Here is a 19,342-nt window from a genome sequence, read left to right on the forward strand (position 1 = left end):
CTTCTAGCAGAAAAATGTACCATGTGCATGCTTGCTTCCTCATCTATTAATGTGAAGTTCCAGCATCCAAGTGAAAAATTAACAAATGTAATTAGGATTGTCTTGGAGATAGAGGGAATCCATTGTTCATGATTTTTCCCTCTCCCAACCACTATCAACCACCCCACCATCTATACACATCACCACTGTCAGTACCACTTCCAGAAATTACTCCCTGGTCCTAAAACCTGGATTAGATTGCCCTCCTCTGTGCTCCCATAACATCCTGTACTTACCCCTTCTCCAAACTGTTACTCTGGAATGGATTTACTAGTTTGGGAATTAGTCTTCCCACTGAGAGAATAAACTGTTCCTTCATTATTTTAGTCCTAGAAGTTGCCCCATGCCTCAAACGTGGTAGATATTTACCAACATTTTTTGAATTAATGAATGAGTGGATTTGATAAGTTAATTTCTTCATAGTGACTTTTGAGTTCCCGCTGCAAGTTGATGACTTTTTTATGCCAGATGCCCAGGGCTCCAGGCAATCCTTATAGTTTTTCTAACTGACAAGGAATTCTCTATTATGAAATGGGGATGTGATTTACATATACCTGCAATCTTAAAGCACTCATAGAGGCCACTGGAAACTCAAATGGGTAATACAAATTGAATTAGCAGCTCTTGATTAAGAGAGCATTGATTTTATTAAAACTGGTAGAATATATGCCAGAAGTTAATTAATAGCTTGAAAATAATCAGACACTTCATAAAGCTGAACATCTGCCAAAAAGCGGGTATTCTGAGGTATGTTCAGGAAAGTTTCCAAGTGTATAATATTTGTTTCCATAGTTCCTTATGTTGTAATAACCAAAAAATAGGTAAATCAATTTTAAATAAAGCAATTTAACAAACTCATATTTCCTTTATATTTTGGAGGAACTCCAAACTTGCAAGAGTAGAACAATGTCCTTACTTACTCTCTTGGGATATCTAAAATATCTTCAGTCCTATAAGATTCTTTTTTAAAATGAGGAATGATTCTTGTTCTGCTTATTTTTACATAACACCTTTATCATCAAACAAACTTCAAGATGTGTCATCTTTAGTAGGAAAACATATTTCCACCTCATCCTCCTGTTAGACTTCAGTCTACTTAAGCCTATTCTCAGTTTAATGGGATTAACAGAAGCAAATCACAATTTAAGACTATAGTTTACCAACCTTCCTTTCTCTTGTTCAGTGAAATTCCCCTGATAATCCATCAGTCAACCCCTGCTGGCCTTGAGAGGCGCTCTAGAAGGCAGGAGAAGGGCACACAGGCTCGCTTTTTGAACTGAAGAAGGGTTTCATTTGGTTTAGAATTGTCAAACTTCAAAAAATAAATAAATAACTTAAAGTGTTTTTCAAATCAGCCATAAGGCTACAAACCAGAAAGAAAAGTGTGAGGCAGGTGTTTGGGGCAGCTACCCAAGTTGCCTACATGGTTTCCAAGGTCCTTTCAACTCTAAGGTTTGTGTATCAGGCTGTCTACAGATCATACTGTCTCCATAAGATTGTCTAGTTCATTTTATGGCTAGTTTGAACAATCTGATTTTCTTTTTTACAATGGCAGGGGCTCAATCCATGTTAGGCTTCAATGTTGAGTCACCCAAGTTCTCCACAGAGAATAACCAACCAGCCGTAAGGAAGCTTCTTTTAGCAATGCCAGGATTCTGCAAAGTCCCTCCCAGCTTAACTTTTCTGACCTTGCGGCAGCAGAACAACAAAAAGAACAGCCCCTGGCACCCTCAGAAGAGCACAAAGCCCTCTGACAACCTGAGATGGCGCCCAGGTAGACTTCCCTCAAAAAAAAAAAAAATGGCAAGGCTGCTTCAGCAGGTCTTTCAGCCCCAACCACTCCACTCTCCGTCTCCTTTTCTTCACTGCTTTCCCCACCTCTCTTCCCCCCTTCCACTTTGACCCACCCCAATTTTCGTCCACTTCTCCCTCACCCCTTCCTTGTAATCTCTCTCCTTGAGGCATCCTGTGGATGTTGACTGTAATCTCCCCTGGAGGAGGGCTAAGAAATGCACCTCCAGAGGGTCTGTTTGCCATTGGAACCGCGTAGAGAAAGCGTGCAAACCCGTCAACTGCTCCCGCCGTTCCTCTCCCTCCTCAACCCAGGCTCGCTACAGAAGAAGGGAGTAGGGTCTGCCCCCTTGTTGTATCTATTTTCCCCTTCTCCGCCAGGGCTGTGGCCGGCAAGGGGCTCAGGAGGTGAGTCCCTTGCCCACACCTCCAACCCCGCTGGCCCGGTTTATAACATGGACAGCCCTGCCCTCTAGTGTCTGCAACCGGGAGCCCTAAGGCGCCATCAGCTCCAGAATTTCTCTTTTATAACCTAAGCAAGACCTGGAGTACCTCGGAGCTGCGACCTCCAGTTCACAATACCACCTGCCTCACACCCGGGCTCATCTTTTCATCCCACACCCACCACCCCCCTCTCCGTTCACGGTGTCCCGGGAGGCTGCGACCTGCGTAGATGATTTAGCAGACTGCCCCTGCCCATGCTCCTGCTCCTGCTCCTCCTCCTCCTCTTCCCCGCTCTCTCCCTCTCGCCTCCTCTTCCAGTCCAGGCGCCCAGACTCGGCGAAGCGCAGCGCCTGCCACCAGCGGTGCCTCGGGCTGCCCGGCGCGCCGCGCTCCCAGGTTCTGTCTCGCCGCACCCCGGCGGGCACTGGCGCGGGCAAGGACGCTGGCGGGGAGAACGCCCTGGGCTCAACGTACTCCAGAATCGAATGTTGAGAGAAGCAGTGCTCTGATCCAGCTCAGGAGAAAAAGGAGCGGGTTCCGAGTGAGACTTCTGGAGCCAGCTGGACGTGCCGGTTTGCCCAGTGCGGCGCGGCTGCACGCACCGTCCACAAGGTGAGGGGCGCACACCTTCCGGGACGACCTTGGCTTCCCTTCTTACCCCCACCCACTCCAGGTACTCCAGCTCTGGCTTGGGGATGTTTGCCAGCTTTGAGGCGCAAAGGCGGCGGGAGTTGGGATGCGGGGTGTCGGAGGGAGACTGAGGGTCGCCCGGGCACCGTGCCTGCACCCTGGATTATAGTACAGAGAGCATTTCTTGTTCAAACAATTCCTCAAATGTGTGAACCTGAGAATCAACATTGTGTATAACTGTGGTTTGAGCATTTCATCCTGCTTCCTTGCAAAAGGATTAGAGGCAGCTTAAAGATTAAATAGGTATGGAACGGGTGCTGGGGGGGGCCAGGGAAAACTTGAGTAGAAATCACAGGGAGGTGGTGTGCTCCAGGGACCCCGGAAGAACTGTGTGATTTCAAAGCCAGCTGATTAAAAAACCTTTGATTAGAAAGGACTGCACTGTTGCTCCAGCCCTCAGAAAATAATACTGTGCTCAGTCCTGATAAACAAAATGCCCAGGTGTGGAGGTAATGAGGCAGGCTCATTTTTTTTAAAATACAAAATAAATCTTGGAAGTAAGAGTTAAGATGAGAAGTTTGGTCTTAAGCCATCTCCACCCAATACTGCAAGGTGAGAGGCTGACCCCCTACCTAACGAAAAGGAAAGGAAATTGAGTCTAAAGGGAAGTGATTCCAGCTCCTATCACAGGATCATAGTGGTTTTGCATCTATATGTATATTTCTGCCTGTGCCCAGTTTTGGAAGAAAGGACCTTGTATTCAACCCAACGCTGCTTGTCCTTGAGTTAGAAGGATAAGGCAGATGGTGTCAGCATCCCAAGGTGTTTCTTCCTAACCTTTCTTATTGTCCTTCCTTGCCTCCTGCACCAAATCTCTTGGGGAGGGAGCAGCCCAGGAGGAAATAATAGATCGTCAAATGGGTTGGGGGAGCAGTGTTTTTTCCAAAATAATTTAGGCTCATTTTATCATTCTTATGTTTTCCCTCAAAGCTCTAAGCAGTACATCGTCCTAAGCTGAATTTAACATTGCTCCAGAATATATATTTATCATAGTTGTACATTCAGACACAATATGCATAACCTTAAACAGCCAGGATGCACTTGTGAATCAGGGGCTTCCCTTACTTAATCCTGCGCAAGAGAGGCAAAGCAGGCACGTGGGTCTGATTCCCTGTGCGGTCTCCTTCATGAGGAGCATATGTGAAATACCTTTGAAATACAGAGAAGATTGAGACAGCTTTTCTCTTTCTGGTACAGTTGCTTTCCTGCTGAATTAAATGAGATGACCCTGTCTTCAACAAATAAATGAATGGAGGCATTTGAGGCCCATTTAACAAATGCACAAAATATGCCTGCCTCTGTTTTTCCTCCCTTCAGAGCTTTAGCCTCCAGCCCACGGAGTTGTGATGATGAAGCCCACCTCCTAAGTGGGACTCAGCTCAGTTTCTGTATCATATTTAAAACAGAGTATGTTGCTTATTTCTAAAATTGCATAGCACCTCACCACTAACTATTTTGCTGCATAGAGGTATTTCATCACTAAGAGAGCTATATAGAGAAACTCACTCAAATCCTGATTCATCATTGTTGATAGAACTTAACTATTGTGTCATCATCACCTGACATGGGCTGCAGAAGCTCCAAGGATTGCTATAGATCTCAATTGAGACTTCTAGTAACAGAGCTAGAAAGGAGCCTTTTAAAGTGTAGCCATGACTCTGGTCATTAGGTATATGCATGTTCAAATATTCCCTTACGTGCTTGTTTTCGCTTTCATAACAATTTCCAGGGATGAAAACTTAGCAGATTATTTTTATAATGAAGAGTATTCAAATTAACAATGTGTATCCACCAGCTAACAAGTTTTAAATTCCACAGAAATCAGCATCACAAGCATAGTAAAATCAAGTTTTCATTCTTTCCTCTTCTGCCATAATGACTTCATTCAAGGCCTAGTCCCAGACCAAGTGCATGGAAACGATGGCTCATGTCTCTCAACATTTGCCCAAGGGAATGGTGCCTACCTTGCAACTCAGCGTGATGTCACCTTTATTAGCCATTCTGGTGTCTATACAAAATATTTGCTCCCCATTTCTTCTTATCGATGCCTGGTCAGCAACAATCATGTAAATAAGTTTCCATTCTTTTGAGGAAGATAACGAAGTCAGCGTTTTTCAGAAGTGGTGCCTAGGAAGAGACAAAATCCAGGACACACCTCTAGTTCAGGTAACACTGCAATATATTTCAATTTCCTGCTGCGTGATGGGGTTATTATTGAAGAGGGAAGTAAGGTATATCATTCACAGCACATTGTCCCCACCTGGCTCAAGCACCACCCATTCCCCAGGTGGGCTCAATATGCTACCCCCACCACCACCAAGATACCAAGGCTGCAAATGAAAAGTAGATCTCAGCCAGGCATGATGGGTCACACCTGTAATTCCAACACTTTAGGAGGCCAAGGCAGGAGGATCACATGAGCCCATGAGTTCGAGACCAGCCTGAGCAAAATAATGAGAACTCATCTCTACAAAAAAATTTAAAATGAGCCAAGTATAGTGGTGTGTACCTGTAGTCCCAGCTACTTGGGAGGTTGAAGTGAGAGGATCGCTTGAGCCCAGAAAGCCAAAGTTGCAGTGAGCCAAGTTTGTGCCACGGCACTACAGCCTAGGTGACAGAGCAAGGCCTTGTCTCAAAAAAAGAAAAGAAAAGAAAGAAAAAGAAAGTAGGTCTCTTTGCAGAAAGCCTCAGGCCCTGAACTTTTGTGTCATCTTCTCATTACTCAAGTCTAATTCCCTACATCTCACTTTTACACACAGATCATTTTTTTCATGTTTGTTTTGATTGCCCACCCTGGAATTCTATTTCTGCACTACCCTTTAAAAGTGAAAGATCAAATCTAACGCTCTAATGTGGGAAAGCATTCCCTCTATTTCTACAAGCTTATTTACACAAAAAAATAAGCTTGAGACTGATCAAAAGCTGAATTTCTACCAAATAGGAACTTACTTTTTATGCCGTAAATTATCAAGGCCATCTCAAGGCAGAGGTGAGTTTAGCATCTCATGCTTTATGCTCCTTTCTTCTGCACCTACCAGATTTTTATTACATGTGAAATTATATGAACATAAACCCCAGGGAAACATTGAAGATGAGTGTGCCGTCACAAGTGACGAGGGGACAGATGAACAGGGAAGAGAAATGGGGCAGCAGCACTTTAGAGTGACTTACTTCTCTCTTGTTTTCTCCTCCCTGAATCATTTTCTAGAACCAGTATTGTGGCCCCTAAAATTTGGGGCTTAGGTCAGTCAACTTACCAAAGTTCATCTTCCTGGTGATGAAAGGACTTTCATCAAAATCCCAGCTACTTTTTATTCGTTCCCACATTTTGTGGATTAAGAAACTGAGAACCAGAATTTATAGAGATCACTCAATCAATTGGCATATTCCCGGATCACAACAAATTGATAAAATTCTTGAGAACCCTCTTTCTAATACAGATTGACTATAATTTTGTCTTTCATTTTTAGTTCTCTTATTTTGTCTCATGCACTGTGGATTATCTGGTTTACTGCAGTCCTTACCTGAATAGATGTCAGTGTTTTGATCCCATTGTTGTATTCCCCTAAAACACGTCAAATGAAAAACTGGACACTTTAATAGGTTTATTGTTAGCACTCTCTCATGCTGATCAATTCTCAACACATGCAGTTGTAGGATTAGGAAGACAAAATCCTTTAGAAGAAGCTATGAAACCTAATCCTTCTGCATCTGGATCATTTTAAACTACAAGTTGTAAGAGGAATGAGCATCTCTGGATTCTAGTTATCAGTGCAGACCAGATGGAAGGTCTTTATGAAATCTGGTATGAGAAGGAAAGCATTTTATAGCAAGAAGAAAATATTTTGAGAAATAGCTACCAGCAGCAGCAGCTAGCAGTTCTAAAACTCTCAGATCCTCCTAATGACCCCATTAGGGAGGGAGGAAGGGAGCAAGGAAGGAAGGAATGAAGGAAGGAAAGAAGAAAGGAAGGAAGGAAGGAAGGAAGGGAAGGAGGGAAGGAGGGAAGTGTTATAAATATTGGTCAGGGAAAAGTTTTATTATTAATGACAGATTAAATAATTAGCTACTAGGAAAATTCAAGGGGATACATAAAAATGCCATTAGAAAGAATAAGAGAACCCAGTAAGGTGGCTAGCTACAATAGCTTGCCTGGTTAGCGACAATATAATCATAGGGATTTATATTACGCTTGTACACTGTTGGGCAGAAAACATGCCTGAGAGGTATAAAAGATGCTGTTAGCATCCAAGAAAAATGGGAAAGGAAAGCCCACCTCATCTGAGGAAGATGGAGGAAGAAGAACCTACAGAAAAGGATTCCACATTCCAAACTCATCCCTCTGAATTCAGTAATATTTATCCTTATATGATTTCTGACAGTGTAGTTTGTCATTGTAATTAATTCTTTCCTGTAAGTAAACAAGAATTGTATACTTACTTAAGTACCTTACATTTTAAACTTTATTACATAGTCCTAATTTTAATGTTGAACTCTGCCCTAGTCAAGGAAGTATTTGTTACCTAACACAAGAATTTGATATACAGTCATCCATAAACACTATCCTACCATATAGTTCATCATAATTTAACATTCAAAGAAAGAAGCATGATTTCCTCTTTTATTATGCTTTCATTTGAGCCATTTTAACTTTCTTACCATTCTTTCCTTCTGAACCTAATTCAATTCCTTACACAATGCTCTAAAAAATCAAGGATTAAATATGTAACTTAATTTATAATTAGCAAATACATCATTTACAAGATGCATTCATATTGGCAAGCATATTTTATTTCATAGATTGTAAACTGGTAAAACAATGTAATCTCCTCACCCTCTCTGCAATACAGTAAGCCTGTTTCTAAGACCATCAAGGTTTTACTTTATGTCCGAGGCATTGGAGAACCAGACTGTACTGACCCCAGGGTTTGGTGACTTACATATAAATGAAGCATCTTACCAAGAAGGGATGAAAAATGACTTTAGAGGAAGCAAAAGTCTCAAAGCTCACAAGACTTGATTACTTTCAGCTTGGTGACAGAGGCAATGCTCTTGTGATGCAGATGGAGTAATTTCTCCAGCACAAAAGATGTCCAGCCGGGTCCCATTGGCTTTGAGATAATCTCTCACATTGCATTAAGTGTACTGAGTACCCTTTCTCAGACTTATGTACCATTAGCATGCATTTAATTAACAGTTAATGATTACATAGTATTGTTACTATTACCACATAGTCCTGTTATATTAAAATACATGAAATTTGTAGCTATGTTTTGCCTGTTTAGTAAAATGAGTCTGAATCTAAGGGTGAGAGGGTCTACACACAGCCAAGAGGATGGGGTATTAACCCAGGCCTGTGTGAAGATATTTGCATCTCATGGAATGCTCTCCAGAGAACAAACTGACCTACCCTGTGCATGTCAGCTAAGCTCCCGCCAGCTTCCTCAGGGCTTGCTGAATGTACAGTGAGTGCCACAGTGCCAGCGTGGCAGTGAAGCACAGGCCCAACTCTACGGACCTGGGGTCAGAAGGCCTGGGTTAATACCCCATTCTCTTGGCTGTATGAGCTGCATGGTCTGTCATCGTTACAATGGGGACAATAATACATGCCCTGTCTACCTCAGCCTCCTTTCAGGGAAGTTTCTCAAAACAGAATATGCTATTGTGATTCATTGTCACCTGTGATGTCAAACTGCACCTTGTGTTATACTACTAGGGGGTAACACAGCATGGGGCTCAAGCCCAAGCTCTCGAGTCCAGAAAGCCAGGTTCATATCCCAGCTCTGCCATTCATTAACTGCTTTCACATCTCTAAACCTCAGTTTCCTCATTTGTTGGGGCTCACATAACAGTACTATGTCATAGGGCTATTTATGAGGATTAAATGTGTGTATTCATTATTGCTAAATAATAAATTACCCCAAAACCTAATGGCTTAAAGCAACAGATTTTTATTATCTCTATGATCATAGTTCCATGGGTTGGGAATCTGGGTATGGCTTAGCTAGGTCCTCTGGCTCAGGTCTGTCACTCACAGGCTGCAAAGTTTCAGCCGAGACTGCAGACATCTCAAGGCTCAACTGGGGAAAGGTAACGCTTCCAAGCTCGCTCACGTGGCTGTTGACAAGCCTCAGGTCCCAGCTGGCTGCTGGCTGGAGACGTTCTTTTGCTACCACATGGACCTCTCTATAGGGCTACTAACAAAACAGAGTGCTTCATGCAGATGTTGCAGCTTGCTGTCCTTGGAGCAAGGGCTAAGATTGAAAGATAGCAAAATAGAAGCCAAGGTCTTTTTGTAACCTGATATCAGAAGTGATATCCCATGGCTTCTGCTGTGTTCCTCATTAGAGACAAGTCACTAGTTTCAGCCTAATTCAAGGGGAAGGGATTACACAGTGGGAGGAATACCTACAGGAACCAAATCATTGAGAGCCACCTGAGATACTGCCTGCCACAATATAAGACATCAGAAGCTGTTTGATAAAGACTCAATTCAGTATCACCTCGTGGTTTTATCTCATAGTAATGTTCTCAGACTGAAATTAGATAATCTGTCAAAGAATTTGTAAAATATAAAGCTCTATACAATATCAAGATTTTATTAGTTTTATTAATGCTGAGAATCCAGTTCCACTTTATAGATAGTGATATAAGAACAGCAAATCAATGATTAAGAGATGTGAATTTTACACCTTGCTGTGTGTGTGACCTTGGAAAAGCCATTTATTTGTTTCATACCTTAGTTCTCTCATGAAAGTGATGATAATAACAGACTTACCAGGATAAAATAGATAATAGACAGCCATGCAGCACATTGACAATATTTTGGTCACCCACAAACCACATATATGACAGTGGTCCCACAAATTATAATGGAGCTGAAAAATTCCTACAGCCTAGTGACATCATCGCTATTGCAATGTTGTTGTAGCACAATGTATCGCTCATGTGCTTGTGATGAGGCTGGTGTAAGCAAACCTGTGCTGCCAGTTGTATAAAAGTATAGCACATACAATTATGTATAGTATATAATACTTGATAATAAACAACTGTTACTGGTTTATACATTTACTGTACTATACTTTTTATCATTATTTTGGGGTGTGTTCCTACTTAATTAAAAAAAAAAAGTGAAAAGAAGTTTAACTGTAAAACAGCCTCAGGCAGGTCCTTCAGAAGGTATCCCAGAAAACAGCATTGTTATTACAGGAGATGACAGCTCCATGCATGTTATTGCCCCGAAGGACCTTCCAACGGACAGGATGTGTAAATAGATACAGTGATACTGATAATCCTGAGCCTGTGTAGGCTAAGGCTAATGTGTCTGTATCTTAGTTTTGTTTGTTTGTTTGTTTGTTTGTTTGAGACAGAGTCTCAGTCGCCCAGGCTGGAGTGCAGCAGCACAATCTCACCTCATTGCAACCTCCGCCTCCCAGGTTCAAGCAATTCTCCCACCTCAGCTTCCTAGTAGCTGGGATTACAGGCACTCACCACCATGCCCAGCTAATTTTTTGAATTTTTAGTAGAGACGGGATTTCACCATATTGGCCATGCTGGTCTTGAACCCCCGACCTCAAATGATTCGCCCGCCTCAGCCTCCCAAAGTGCTGGGATTACAGGCGTGAGTATCTTAGTTTTTAACAAAAAAGTGTGAAAAGGAAAGAAAAAATTTAAAGTTTTAAAAATAGAAAAAAGTTTATAAAATAATGTTATAAATAATGAGAATATTTTTGTATAGCTATACAATGTGTTTTAAGCTAAGTGCTATTACAAAAAGAGTCAAAAAGGTTTTTTTAATTTAAAAGTTTGGGGGTTTTTTGTTTTGTTTTTGTTTTTGTTTTTGTTTTTTTGAGATGACGTTTCTTTCTTGCCTCCCAGACTGGAGTGCAGTGGCGTGGTGATCCCAGTTCACTGCAACGTCCGCCTCCCCAGTTTCAAGCAATTCTCCTGCCTCAGCCTCCCAAGTAACTGGGATTACAGGCATGTGCCACCATGCCCAGCTAAATTTTGTATTTTTAGTAGAGATGGGGATTCACTATGTTGGCCAGGCTGGTCTCAATCTCCTGACCTCAGGTGGTTTACCTGCCTCGGCCTCCCAAAGTGCTGGTATTACAGGCATGAGCCACCACACCCGGCCTAATTAAAAAGTTTATAAAGTAAAAAAGTTATAGTAAGATAAGGTTAACTTATTATTGGAGAGAGAAAAAATGGTTTTTACAAATTAGGTATAGCTTAAGTGTACAGTGTTTTTAAAGTCTACAGTAGTGTACAGTAATGTACTAGGCCTTCATATTCGCTCAACACTGACTCACTGACTCACCCAGAGCAGCTTCTAATCCTGCAAACTCCATTCATGATAAGTTCCCTACACAAGTATCCCATTTTTTATCTTTATACCATATTTTCACTGTACCCTTTCTACGTTTAGATACACAAATACTATTGTGTTACATTTGCCTACAGTATTCAATACAGTAACATGCTGTCTGGCTTTGTAGCCTAGAAGCAATAGGCTATGCCACATAGCCTAGGTGTGCAGTAGGCTACACCATCTAGGTTTGTGGAAGTACACATCTTGATGTTCACACAATGATGAAATGGCCTAACAATGCATTTCTCAGAATGTATGATGCATGGCTATATATAAAATTATGCTGAAATCTAAAAAAATGAGATGATGGTCATAATGACAATGATGAAGATGACTATATGTTTCAGCTTCTACTCCATGGTCCTTTGAGGACAACTGAAGTAACTAGATATGATTTTTGTCAGTTGTGTTTTAAGTGTATGTATCAAATCCAGCTACCCCAAGTTTTACAATAACTTTATATGGTTTAATCTTATCTTGCTGAACACATTAGATATGCTGCCCTGAAAAGTGGCTTGCAAACAGAATTTTTAGAAACTGAACCATAATTAAAATGCACAGAGGCCGGGCACGGTGGCTCACACCTGTAATCCCAGTACTTTGGGAAGCCAAGACAGGCGGATCACCTGAGGTCAGGAGTTTGAGACCAGCCTGACCAACATGAAGAAACCCTGTCTCTACTAAAAATACAAAATTAGCCATGCGTGGTGGCACATGGCTGTAATCCCAGCTACTCAGGAAGCTGAGGCAGGAGAATCGCTTGAACCCAGGAGGCGGAGGTTGTGGTGAGCCGAGATCGCGCCATTGCACTCCAGCCTGGGCAACAAGAGCGAAACTCTGTCTCAAAAAAAAAATGCACAGAGAAGGTTTCCATGTATCTAGTGGAATTGTACAATGCTTATGTGATCTTGTGATATCATTAATATTTTGTAATATAAATAATTATCCTCATTATTTTAATTTTCTGGCATTGTAGCAACACCTGTATAAATATTTATAGTTACTTAAGAACTCACAAAACAACCTTTTGAAGTAGGCAAATAAAACCAACTCTTGGTTATCTCAAAGAGTTCTTTTTGTTTGATTCTTGTGTTATCTACATTTCTTCTCTCACTGTAAATTGGCATAAATTTGGCAGATACAAAACAAGTAAAGTTCAAACTCCTCCACTCAACCACTTTAAGGGATTTTTTTTCCTGCTTATAAGTATATCACATGTTCATTGTAGAAAATTTGGAAATGCAGAAAAGTATAAAAAATGTAGTTAAAGTTACTCTTATTGCCACCACCAAGAGGCAGCCACTATTGATACTTTGATGAATTTCTGCCTTAGTGCTTTCCCTCTCTATAGGGAGAAAAGAGTGGTTTCTTTTTCAATGAAATCAGGAGTATGTTATATACTTTTCTTGTGTTCTGCTTTCTCTAATTAACATTATTTTTTAAATGATATTTCCATTTATTGATTCAACAACATAAATTAGTAAATATTGACTATATCCAAAGTGGAATTTGGATGAACTGTAAGAAATATAGTTAATAATTGAATTCAGATTTTTTAAATCAATTCCAACAATTGTGAAGTAGTTTCTTTTCCTTTTTTTAAAAAATTTTACTTTAAGTTTGGTGATACATACGCAGAATGTGCAGGTTTGTTACATAGGTGTACATGTGCCACGGTGGTTCACTGCACCTATCAACCTGTCATCTAGGTTTTAAGCCCTGCATGCGTTAGGTATTTGTCCTAATGCTCACCCTCCCTTTACCCTCCACCCCGCGACAGGCCCCAGTGTGTGATGTTCCCCTCCTTGTGTTCATGTGTTCTCATTGTTCAACTCCCACTTATGAGTGAGAACACGTGGTGTTTGGTTTTCTGTTCCTGTGTTAGTTTGCCGAGAATGATGGCTTCCAGCTTCATCCATGTCCCTGCAAAGGACATGAACTCATTCTTTTTTATGGCTGCAAACATTATCTATTTAATAAGTTTCACATGTAATTATTATTTGAAAACATCATTTCTAATAAGTATATAATATTGTTGTATGGATATACTATATCTTATTTAACCAGTCATTACTATTGGACTTTTAGGTGGTTGTCAGTTTTTATACTGTAAAATTATAGCATGAAAAGAAAATTTTTACATAAGTCTTTGTCATTCATTATTCTAGTTATCTTAGTAAAAGTAGCAAAGGAGTCCTTGAAGTCACTAGGGGGAAATGAGGTTTGGTAATCCAAGTATAAATATATACACCACAGTCTTCTCTTCCCTCTTCCCTACCACTTCCTCTCACCTCCCACTGGCAGAAATTTGCAGGCTTTTAATGCTGGAAATTGCTGAAGTAACAATCTAATTGGGGTGGCCATCTGTCGTTTTTGGCCCATATCGTTCAGGTCACACTGAATGCACCCTTGGCTCCAAGAGTGACATGGGACCCAGGCCCATCCAAACATCTTGTTCTCCAGGGCACTGTGATTGGTTCAGGGATAGGCCGTGATCCAAGCAGACCAATTGGAATCAATGAGGCTCAGTTGAGAGGTGTTCAGGTGCCATCACCTACATTGGATTTGGAGATTTAAGGATACATGCCAGGAACTGCAGGGACCCAACATAAGGGGAGTGCCTCCTGAGGATAAAACTTTACATGGAGGAAGGAAGAGCCCAGAGATGGAGAAAGATTCTTGGGTATATTATTTAAGTTTCTGGATCCACCTGTGCCTGATCTACACTTGACACTGAAGTTTCATGAGCAAGTAAAGTCTCCTTCTCACTTATGCCAATTTAAGAAGATTTCTGTCATTTGTCTTTTAAAAGGTCTTTAATAATCCAGAGATTTTTACCCTCTCAATTGATGAAAATGAGTTGTAGTTAAGACAGATTCTGGAACTGAATCCTAGTTCCATCACTGACAGTGTAACGAGGGAAGGTTATATGACCTTTCCCCAGTCAGCTTCCCTACCTATAAAATGAAAATAATGCTAATACTTATCACCTCAGAGAGGTTTTTGCAGGGTTAAGTAAGTTAATATGTGAAAAAGTGCTTAAAACAGTATCTGGTATATTTTAATTACTACGTAAGTGTGTCCCTGCTGCTGCTGCTGCTGTTGTTATTTTGAAGGCAGAAAGAAAATGCAGGAGAGTAAATGACCTATTTCACTCATGCAGAGATTTAGCAGCCAAGCTAAAATTCAAATTTAGGTCTTCTCTTTTCTCTGCTTGTTGTTCTTTCTCAAGAGCTAAGCCTATCGTCATCTTTATGATATATTTGAGTATTAAGCTTTCAGAAGTTTCCATCCACATAATTGAACATTTCTATCAAAAGTTTTGAGGTAGACCAGGAGGCCAGAAAATAGATTTAAGTTACTAGCAATAACCAGATGCTACTGTAGGATTATAGGTTATCACAACTTGTAACTAAAAATTATGATTTTTATTATAATAAGTTTAATTACATTTATTTAATTTTAATTAAAATTAAAATACATTTTATTATTATAATTTCTACTTTAACAAGTAACTATACCTTTCACTGTGTTTTATTTAGCACCTTTCACAGTGTTGTTGTCTTTTTTAATATACCTTCCTATTAAACCAGTTGCTCTTTGCAGAATGCTTGAATCATTTGGCTCTTGGTTAGTAGGCTCCCGTTACCTAACCAAGCACTGAGTGAACGTATTTACTGGGGAGGCAGCTGGTCTCTCCCAAATGTAAATCAGATTTCATCATGTCTGGCTTGGAGAGAACGTGGCATATGGCAAATGAAGACACAGCTGCATAGTGAAATTTTCCATCACAAGTTAGTCTAATACCTGAATGCAGAGTGAATAAAACATTTTCTAAACAAGAATATTATGTTCAAATTCATAATCATTGTTAAATATTAAGAGTCAGGTTATTTCCCTTGAATTATACAAAATTTCACTATTCTTGAAAAAGTACATGTTATCTTATATTTAATGTCATACTATTCACATCCAGGCTGCCTTTCAACTTCTATTATTTAAAAATATTTTCAGATATCTACATTGCCTGTTATTAAAATGCAAACTGTTCTTTGAGTAGAGAACCTTTGTGTAAGGCCTTACAAAGTTCTGATAGAGATGAAGTGCACGGAAGGAATGACAGTGTGGTGGGAAGGTCCATGGCCTTAGGGGAATGGGTGGGAGCCTAAGCTTTGGAGCAGTTAGGTTGGAATTCAGACAAAGCCCTGCCACTTCTAGGCTGCAAAGGTATTGAACAAGGTACTTAACTACCCTCTGCCTCAGTTTCCTTATCTGTGATAAGAATAATATCATGTAATGATAATACAAACATCATAGGATTGTCAGAATCAAAATGAGAAAATGTATGCAATATTCTTAGCATAGTACCTGCCACATAATAAGCACTCAAAAATAATAAGACCTGCTTCATCACTGGCTCTAAAGTTGTGTCCAATTGGTTTCATAACCCTAAGAAGGCTATCAAATCTTCCTGGGCCTCAGTTTTGTCATTAGATGAGTAAATTGGACCAAATTCTATAAAAAGTGCCTTTGGGGGTTAAAATGCTATGACAATGCCCATACACATTGGGGTAAACCAAAAATCTATAACAGGGGCAAACTTGGGAAGATTTTTTCAAATCTGTTTTTCTACACTGAAATTGAGCTGCATCCCTTCTCCAAAGGTGATCATCTTCTCTAATAATAAAGCAAGGTTTGTCTATTTTTAACTTTTTATTGATCCAGTGCTCAGATTTTTCAGCACCATTTGGGGAGGAGTGTTCAATGCCTCATTGCAGAACCTTCCTTGTCATGATGATTTTGATAATATTATTGACATTCTTTCAGATTCCATAGTGAGTCTTTGTCATGATCAAAGGGCTCATGATGCTGATAACACAAACAAGAGTAACCAGTTCAAGAATTAATTTGGTTAATGAGGATCACTAATACGGATAATTTCTTCCTAACTGTTTTGGCGGGATGCATTATTTGGTTGAGTGTATTATCTTGTCTACACTGATCAAGCTAGCTTGAAACTCTTCTTATCAGCCTTTAACTACGTACTTTACCAACACAGCCTTTGAAATATTTGTTTTCTTTTCATGAAGAGCTTTTAAATTTTTTGCCTAGATTCCAAAGTAAGAAATCAATTTAAATGGCATAACTTTCAAACTAGACTTCTGAAAGACTTTATGCATCATCAGTAAATCTAAATTGATATTTTTCTTTAAAAGATGCAACTTTTCTATTTCCTATGTAAATAACTGTGACTCTATTGATTTATAAACTCCAAGAACAATTACCACTAGGGAAAAAGACAGGATAAAGGAGCATTTGTTGTCAAGCAGATATAATATTTTGAACTGATGATAATGTTTCCCTTACAAAACATGCTTGTATTAACTGATATTTATACTCATTTTTGAAAACTGAATTACAGATTTATGAAGGATATATTCGAAACTTAATTCACTAAAAGAAAAAAATATATATGTCTATTGAAATATCCCCTAAGAAGCAGAAAAATATTTTTGTTCTAGTAGTATAAATGAATAATGCAAATAAGAATGTCACCTGAATTTTAAGTAACACACAGTATATTTGGACCCCAGATTGACAATTGGCAACAGTACCAGAAAATAAACTAGAAGCTAGATGCAGCCAGGCCTTGGCAAATATATTTTTATACTGTTGTTAAGAAACTCATAATAACTGCTTCCTCACTGATGTGAACTTTCCTTAGTTGACACTCTCTTGATTACAAGTACACGATGCCTACTTTAAATTATCCTTAATCATGAAGGGAATTTGTTAGAAGATGCCAGGATATTTGGTGAAACTCAAGAGCTAGAGTTAGCTACTAGGAAATTATCAGGAATCTAGAACCTTATTTTTCTCTTCCCTTTTTTCTCTCCAAGACTGGCTTTGAATATTTCTACACACATGTGGCTAAATGTGGGTGTCCCATAGCTCCTTAGTTTCAATTTCGAGATTCAAACAACTCACAGAGAAAACCAACAAGCATCTCTCACTCACAGTTCAAATTCCTAGAAAAAAAGGGAGTTTGGCCCAGCTATAGTTAGCTGTCTATCCCTAGCCCATCAACAATGGTGCAAACATAGGTGCTGGGAATCTAGTCTTAGCAGGAGGGGAACAGTATGCAGAAAAAGGGGGATCTGTGTTGTACAGACACCCCAAAAAAGTTGTCTTTTCTTCCTTTTGGCTTACACATACACACACACAGACACACACACACACACACACACACCCCTACCATTCTTCCCATTTATTAAAAGGTCTCCCTGCCATATATGACTTAACCATCTTACACTGAACTACACTCTCATTCACCCCCTTCCTAAAGGGGATAATCCAATCAATCATATCTAGCAACTGAATCCTAAAATGTCATCAATGGGCCCCTCTTCTCAAAGTGAATGATCCCCAGAATAGTCCATCTTTTCTGTAGATTAGGCTTCATTTTGTTCAGAAAAATAGCTTTCTCTTTTTATTCTGCAACATAATGATTGAATGGTAAAATTAGAAAGTTATCAGTAAAACCACAAACATTCCCACTCAAAAAATGATTACAAGAAGCAAAAATCTTCACAGCAACATCATACATTGGTTACCAGACCAGAGAATATATTGCATCCTGCAAGACAAGGATTGCAAGAAAGGTGAAGAGTAGGATAAATAGGTTTTATGGGCTTCCATTATTGTTGGGATGGGTTCCTTCCTAAATCAAGTACTTCACTACAATATAATGCAAATAAAGTGAACCTCTCTGCATGCTGCCTTGACTGACTCAGCCAACCAGTTTCATATTCTTTACATAGCTTTGTTAACTGTAGCTCTCTCTATTGATGCAATTTCTCTCTTAGTCGAGATCCTTTTGGTTGTGAGTAAAAACATACACAGATACAAAACCACAGACTTTAAGTTAGCTTAAGGAAAAAATATGTTGGGAGGAGTTTACTGGAAGGGTTCCAGGATACATTAATTCATAACAAATGACCCCAAAACTTAATGGCATAAAATGGCACTCTTTATTTAAGTCAGTTTTGGAGATTATCTGGGTAGTTTTCTCTTTATTTAAGTCAATTTTGGAGATTGTCTGGGTAGTTTTCTCTGCTGAGATTTTTCCTGCCTCTGCATGAGCTGGCAGGTCAGTTACAAGCCAGATGATCTACTGTGTTCTCACATTTCTAAGGGTCGGCAGGCTGTCAGCTAGTGCAAAGGAATCAGTGGTTAGAAGGGACTAGGCCATGTGGCTCTCAACATCCGGGATGCTACACTAGGCATCTTCACAGGGTTCCTAAAAGTACAGTGAAGAAAGCAGCAAAGTCCTTGAGACTCAAACTCAAAACTCACATGATTCCATTTCTGTCACATTCTATTAGTCAAAATAATTCATAAGGTCAGCCCAGACTCAAGGAACAGAAAACAGATTGTATTAGTCTGTTCTCACATTGCTATAAAGAACTACCTGAGACTGGGTAATATATAAAGAAAAGATGCTTGATTGACTCACAGTTCCATAGTCTGTACAGAAAGATTGGCTGGGGAGTCCTCAGGAAACTTGCAATTATAGCAGAAGCAAAGGGGAAACAGGCACATCTTACATGGCTGGAGAAAAAGCAAGAAAGTGAAGGGGGAGGTGCTGCACACTTAAACAACCAGATCTCGTGAGAACTCACTCACTACCATGAGAACAGCAGAGGGAAATCCACCCCCATGATTCAATTACCTCCAACAAAGCCCCTCCTCCAACATTGGGAATTACAATTCAATATGAGATTTGGGTGGGGACACAAATACAAACCATATCATAGATTCACCTCTTGATGGCAGGAGCTGTAGTAGGGACATTTTTGCAGTCTACAACAAGGGATATTATGAAGAAGTCAAAGATAATTTGTATAGCCAGACACCACAAGGGGCTAGAACTGTGAACTGTAAAGCTGGCAGAGCCTGAGATATTTCCATTTTTATTCAGGCTGTCTGTCTGCCTCTCATCATATG

General features: G+C 40.0%; 1 protein-coding gene across 2 annotated transcripts in view, besides 2 other annotated features; it reads left to right on the top strand.

Annotated features, from left to right (window-relative positions):
• Positions 2,375 to 2,930: an enhancer, noted in NCBI's record as "H3K4me1 hESC enhancer chr6:87647030-87647585 (GRCh37/hg19 assembly coordinates)". NCBI's record gives its function as "activates a minimal SCP1, AML or CMV promoter by ChIP-STARR-seq in primed H9 embryonic stem cells {active_cell/tissue: H9 hESC(primed)}" and the evidence as "EXISTENCE:reporter gene assay evidence [ECO:0000049][PMID:30033119]".
• Positions 2,591 to 19,342, top strand: part of HTR1E (5-hydroxytryptamine receptor 1E) — a 79,152-nt gene continuing 62,400 nt past the window's right edge. Inside the window, exon 1 of one of the 2 annotated variants that reach the window (XM_011535789.3) lies at positions 2,591 to 2,947. The gene's annotated coding sequence lies outside the window, so the exon portion shown is untranslated. The remainder of the gene's footprint in view (positions 2,948 to 19,342) is intronic. The other variant, NM_000865.3, reaches the window with a different exon arrangement.
• Positions 2,931 to 3,485: an enhancer, noted in NCBI's record as "H3K4me1 hESC enhancer chr6:87647586-87648140 (GRCh37/hg19 assembly coordinates)". NCBI's record gives its function as "activates a minimal SCP1, AML or CMV promoter by ChIP-STARR-seq in primed H9 embryonic stem cells {active_cell/tissue: H9 hESC(primed)}" and the evidence as "EXISTENCE:reporter gene assay evidence [ECO:0000049][PMID:30033119]".

This window comes from Homo sapiens, chromosome 6 (genome assembly GCF_000001405.40).
Source record: "Homo sapiens chromosome 6, GRCh38.p14 Primary Assembly".
NCBI classification, from domain to species: domain Eukaryota; kingdom Metazoa; phylum Chordata; class Mammalia; order Primates; family Hominidae; genus Homo; species Homo sapiens.